This window comes from Homo sapiens, chromosome 3 (genome assembly GCF_000001405.40).
Source record: "Homo sapiens chromosome 3, GRCh38.p14 Primary Assembly".
In the NCBI taxonomy this organism is placed as follows: domain Eukaryota; kingdom Metazoa; phylum Chordata; class Mammalia; order Primates; family Hominidae; genus Homo; species Homo sapiens.
In genome coordinates, this window is record NC_000003.12 from 112,555,711 (window position 1) to 112,560,723 (window position 5,013).

A 5,013-nucleotide genomic window follows, 5' to 3' on the forward strand; every position below is an offset into this window, starting at 1 on the left:
CCCATTTCCTCCTCCAGGCTCATTCTACTCTAACTCAATCCTGTAATTGTGCTCTATCCCAACCCTGCATTATGTAATAGACAGCCAGCTGGGCTAATTTGGCCTTGGATTTTTTTAGAGAGGAAAATTCATAAATTGATTGATGTTGTAATTAAGTGTAACAGTTATTTATTCTAGGATGAATTCCTGTTTTGAAACTGCTTAATTCTATCCAATGACCACAGACTTTGCATCTCTAACTGCAACTATATATTCAACAATTAGTCATCTTCACAGAGGAAATAAAACCAAAGAGTGCAATAAGAACAGCATACTTTCATCTCCGCTCTTGATTTCAGATAAAGAGCCATGTTCAAATTACACCTCTGTTTGGCAAGAATGTTAATGATATCCTTAAAATCAAAACTTAGTTTTATTTGGCATTTGAGGTAATAAAACCTAAGGCAGAATAGGATCTTTACAGAATGTCTAGCCCACAACCGTTATTTTATAGATGAGGAAACATGAAGCCTCGGCAGGGATAGTTTAACTGATTTCCTCATTAGGAGAAATTACCGTCCCGTCCGGGAGGTGAGGGGCGCCTCTGCCTGGCCGCCCCTACTGGGAAGTGAGGAGCCCCTCTGCCCGGCCGCCCCTACTGGGAAGAGAGGAGCCCCTCTGCCCGGCCAGCCGCCCCATCCGGGAGGGAGGTGGGGGGGTCAGCCCCCCGCCCGGCCAGCCGCCCCGTCCGGGAGGTGAGGGGCACCTCTGCCCGGCCGCCCCTACTGGGAAGTGAGGAGCCCCTCTGCCCGGCCACCACCCCGTCTGGGAGGTGTACTCAACAGCTCATTGAGAACGGGCCATGATGACAATGGCGGTTTTGTGGAATAGAAAGGGGGGAAAGGTGGGGAAAAGATTGAGAAATCGGATGGTTGCCATGTCTGTGTAGAAAGAGGTAGACATTGTAGACTTTTCATTTTGTTCTGTACTAAGAAAAATTCTTCTGCCTTGGGATCCTGTTGATCTGTGACCTTACCCCCAACCCTGTGCTCTCTGAAACATGTGCTGTGTCCACTCAGGGTTGAATGGATTAAGGGTGGTGCAAGATGTGCTTTGTTAAACAGATGCTTGAAGGCAGCATGCTCGTTAAGAGTCATCACCACTCCCTAACCTCAAGTACCCAGGGACACAAACACTGCGGAAGGCCACAGGGTCCTCTGCCTAGGAAAACCAGAGACCTTTGTTCACTTATCTGCTGACCTTCCCTCCACTATTGTCCTGTGACCCTGCCAAATCCCCCTCTGCGAGAAACACCCAAGAATGATCAATTAAAAAAAAAAAAGAAATTACAGAAATAGGTCTAGAAGGCAGGTCTCCTAGGTTATTTCCATACTACCATGTGTCTTCACCAAAAACAAAAGACAATTTTAGAGAAAAGATTAGTTATGCAAACCATTTTTTTTTTTCAGACGGAGTCTCGTTCTGTCGCCCAGGCTGGACTACAGGCGCCCACCATCACGCCCCGCTAATTTTTTATATTTTTAGTAGAGACGGGGTTTCGCCCTGTTAGCCTGTATTCCGCCTGCCTCTGCCTCCTAAAGTGTTGGGATTACAGGCGTGAGCCACCACGCCCAGCACAGAAACCATTCTTAAAACTCACAAGGAGCCGGGCGCAGTGGCTCAAGCCTGTAATCCCGAGGCAGGCGGATCACGAGGTCAAGAGGTCGAGACCATTCTGGCCAACATGGTGAAACCCCATCTCTACTAAAAGTACAAAACTTAGCTGGGCGTGGTGGCGCTCACCTGTATTCCCAGCTACTTGGGAGGCTGAGGCAGGAGAATTGCTTGAACCCAGGAGGCAGAGGCTGCAGTGAGCCAAGATCGCGCCACTGTGCTCCAGCCTGGTGACAGAGGGAGACTCCGTCTCAAGAAAAAAAAATTAAAAAAACCACAAAGATTTGGAACTAGACAAATTCCATCACAACTGAAAATTGAAAGATCAGTTAATTCTCTAGCTCCACACCTTGGACCTTAACAGCAGCAGCCTTATCATAAAATAAGGCTTAAAACGTTTGTTTCAAAACAGTGAATAAAGTTCTATTGCCAAAAAGTGGTGTTTTCATTGGCAGAAAAAAAAAAATTCAAGCTTAAATAAATTGTCTCTTATTAAGAACAACCTAAGTCTGATAAAACCATAATTATTCATAAAATTGGAGCCTGAAAAGGTTTTTAGCCCAGTATTTACTTCTCCACCGACAACGAAATAGAACTCTTAAGAGAAAACAATATCTAAGTAGTAAGCAAAGTTTTCCAATGAAAAGCATGAAAACTCACATTTGATGTAAACAGAACCAAGACACCACAGACATTACAGAGCTTACTGCACAGCTCAATATAACACCAATACAAGTCAAGGATAAGTGACATAGGACTCATTTTGATCCCTTCTTTCACCCTCATTTCTAAATAAAGAGGAACTACAGAGAAATATGAGAAGTGGCAAACTGACGGGGAAGTTACATCTTTTCTTCTATGGGAAGTAGAAATTCCCATAAATCACAGTCATAAAACCTAATTTTACTCAAATCAAAATTAAAGTTCAAGATGTTTTCTTATGAAGCAGAAAAGCCACCTAGTTTAGTATTATTGTAAAATAAAAAGACTTCAGTATATCTTCAGCACTCACCTCTTCTGGGGTAATTACACCTGTTTCCTTAAACTTTGATTCCTAAAAAAAGCAGAAAGAAAAACAATATTATATCATGTTTCACTATCAATTAAATATATTTTGGGGGCAATTATTTGCCTGGTGCCCTTCTAGGCAATAGAGCACATACAAAAAAAAATTAGTCTATCTATCTAATCTATAATCTATCTAATCTACCTATCTACCTACCTCATTGGTATCTATCTATATCTATCTATCTGTTTCACTCACTGGTAATGACCACAGGAATATACAAGTCTAATGTAGGAAACAGACATGAAAATAATTATAATACTATCAGATCAGTGCTATAATAGAGTAAAGCTCTATGTAGAAACATTCTTTTTTTTTTTTTTTAAGATGGAGTTTCACTCCTGTTGCCCAGGCTGGAGTGCAGTGGCGCCATCTTGGCTCACGGCAACCTCCACCTCCCGGGTTCAAGCGATTCTCCTGCCTCAGCCTCCTGCCTGTAGCTGGGATTACAGGCATGTGCCACCATGCCCGGCTAATTTTTGCATTTTTAGTAGAGACAGGGTTTCTCCATGTTTGTCAGGCTGGTCTCGAACTCCTGACCTCAGGTGATCCACCCGCCTCGGCCTCCCAATGTGCTGGGATTACAGGCGTGAGCCACTGCGCCCGGCCAAGCTCTATGTACAAACATTCTAAGATTTAAATAAAAATAAAGCCTTACAGTGATTCTGTGAAATGAACAAATACCTTTATTTTACAGCACAGCAAAAATGTCTTAAAGATGTTTAGACATCTTACAATTCAGCCAGTCTTATTTAAACTGAATAATGTTAGAAACCAAATCTAGAAATTATTTAGCATTTTCCTCTAATTCTCATCTCCACCAAGATACTGACACACTATTCTCTAAATTTTTCTAAACTTTAAGTTATATGTAAGATTTTCTGGTAGAGTCTACAAAAATGAAAACACTCATTTATAAACATTATTCATTCAACAAATGTTTACTATGTGCCAGACACTATTTGAGGCAGTGGGGATATTTGGGGGTGAATAACATAAATACAAATTTATTCTTGCCCTCATAAGGAGTTTCAACTCCAGTTGAGGAAGAAAAGCCAAATGGTAATGAATAACATACCATAAAGAAAAATGAAGCTGAGAGGAATCTGTGGGGTGGCTGGGGAGAGATGGCCATTTAAAATAGAATGGTAAGAGAACAAAGACTTCACTGAATAATGACTTAAAAACCTTAAGGAAAGGAACATGCCATAAGGCTGTTAAGTGCGAAGCGCGTTTCAGATAGAGGGAAGAGCACATGCAAAACCCCAAACCAAGAGTGTGCTTAACAGAATAATAAAGAGATCAGGTTAGCTTAAGCAACAGCAGTCAGGGGATGGAGCAGATGAGATTGGGGCCTCTACCAATTAAGCAGAACCTTAGAGATGATTGTAAGAACTTCAGTGTTTACTGCATGTACATACTCCAAACAAAACATGATTTTTCTTAATTTTTACTTGCTAGGAGAAGGCTATTACTTATTTCCTGAGGATTTTGTTCTTTCTCCTTGCCCTCCCTAAGCAGGAAACTGTAAGGATTCTCTCTGTAAACAACAGTTTGCACAGGAGTATCAAGGAGACGGTCATTCATTCTTTCCTTTTTACTAAAGACATATACCATACATACTGACATGCCAACAGTTCCTTTTCAGTTTGGTGAGCAAGTATGATGGACTCCTGAAAACATAATTCTACATCATACATTTTATATTTCATTTGGGCAGTCTCTTGCTCCTCTCTCCCGGAAACTAAAAAGTTGTACAATGGTGTATTATTAAAATACTGTATACCTAGGTAGATATGATATTCTGAAAAGTTAACATAATTATGTAAAAGCATTTGATTCAAATGTGAAAATTATTTTCCAATCTTAGTTTGACTGAATAATCTTAAAATGACTTTCACAGTAAACAAATGTAAGCAAAGCAACAGTTGAAATTCTCATTTATAATCGCTGGTTTATTTCTTACTTGGCCAATAAGTTATTCTTTTAAAAGGAGCTTTACAAAAACGTATTTTAAAAAGTATAGACCTAGTACTTCCCTTTGTCATGGAAAGGGAGCAAAGCAAAACTCTCCACTATTCTTAGCATATTAAGGTATTTCACCCCCACACTGAGATTGGTACATTCTAACTGAAAGCTTAAAAACAACTAGAAAAAAAAAACAAAAACTAAGCAAGAACTTCCCATTAATTTACTATTCTTGCTCACTTTTCAGAAAGCAAAAATGAAGTTACAACAAAACACTCCAAAAGAGTTATAAAAGAAAAGCTTGAAGGCAGTTGTAGAAATTTACC

At 40.3% G+C, this 5,013-nt stretch overlaps 1 protein-coding gene across 3 annotated transcripts in view; it reads right to left on the reverse strand.

The window, feature by feature from the left end:
• Positions 1–5,013, reverse strand: part of ATG3 (autophagy related 3) — a 29,453-nt gene that overhangs the window by 23,201 nt on the left and 1,239 nt on the right. For all 3 annotated transcript variants that reach the window (XM_011513074.1, NM_022488.5, NM_001278712.2), the window contains exon 2: positions 2,666–2,707. Coding sequence is in view for 2 of the 3 variants with exons in the window: in NM_022488.5 (NP_071933.2) it covers positions 2,666–2,707 (42 nt within the window). In the remaining variant the exon portion in view is untranslated. The remainder of the gene's footprint in view (positions 1–2,665; positions 2,708–5,013) is intronic.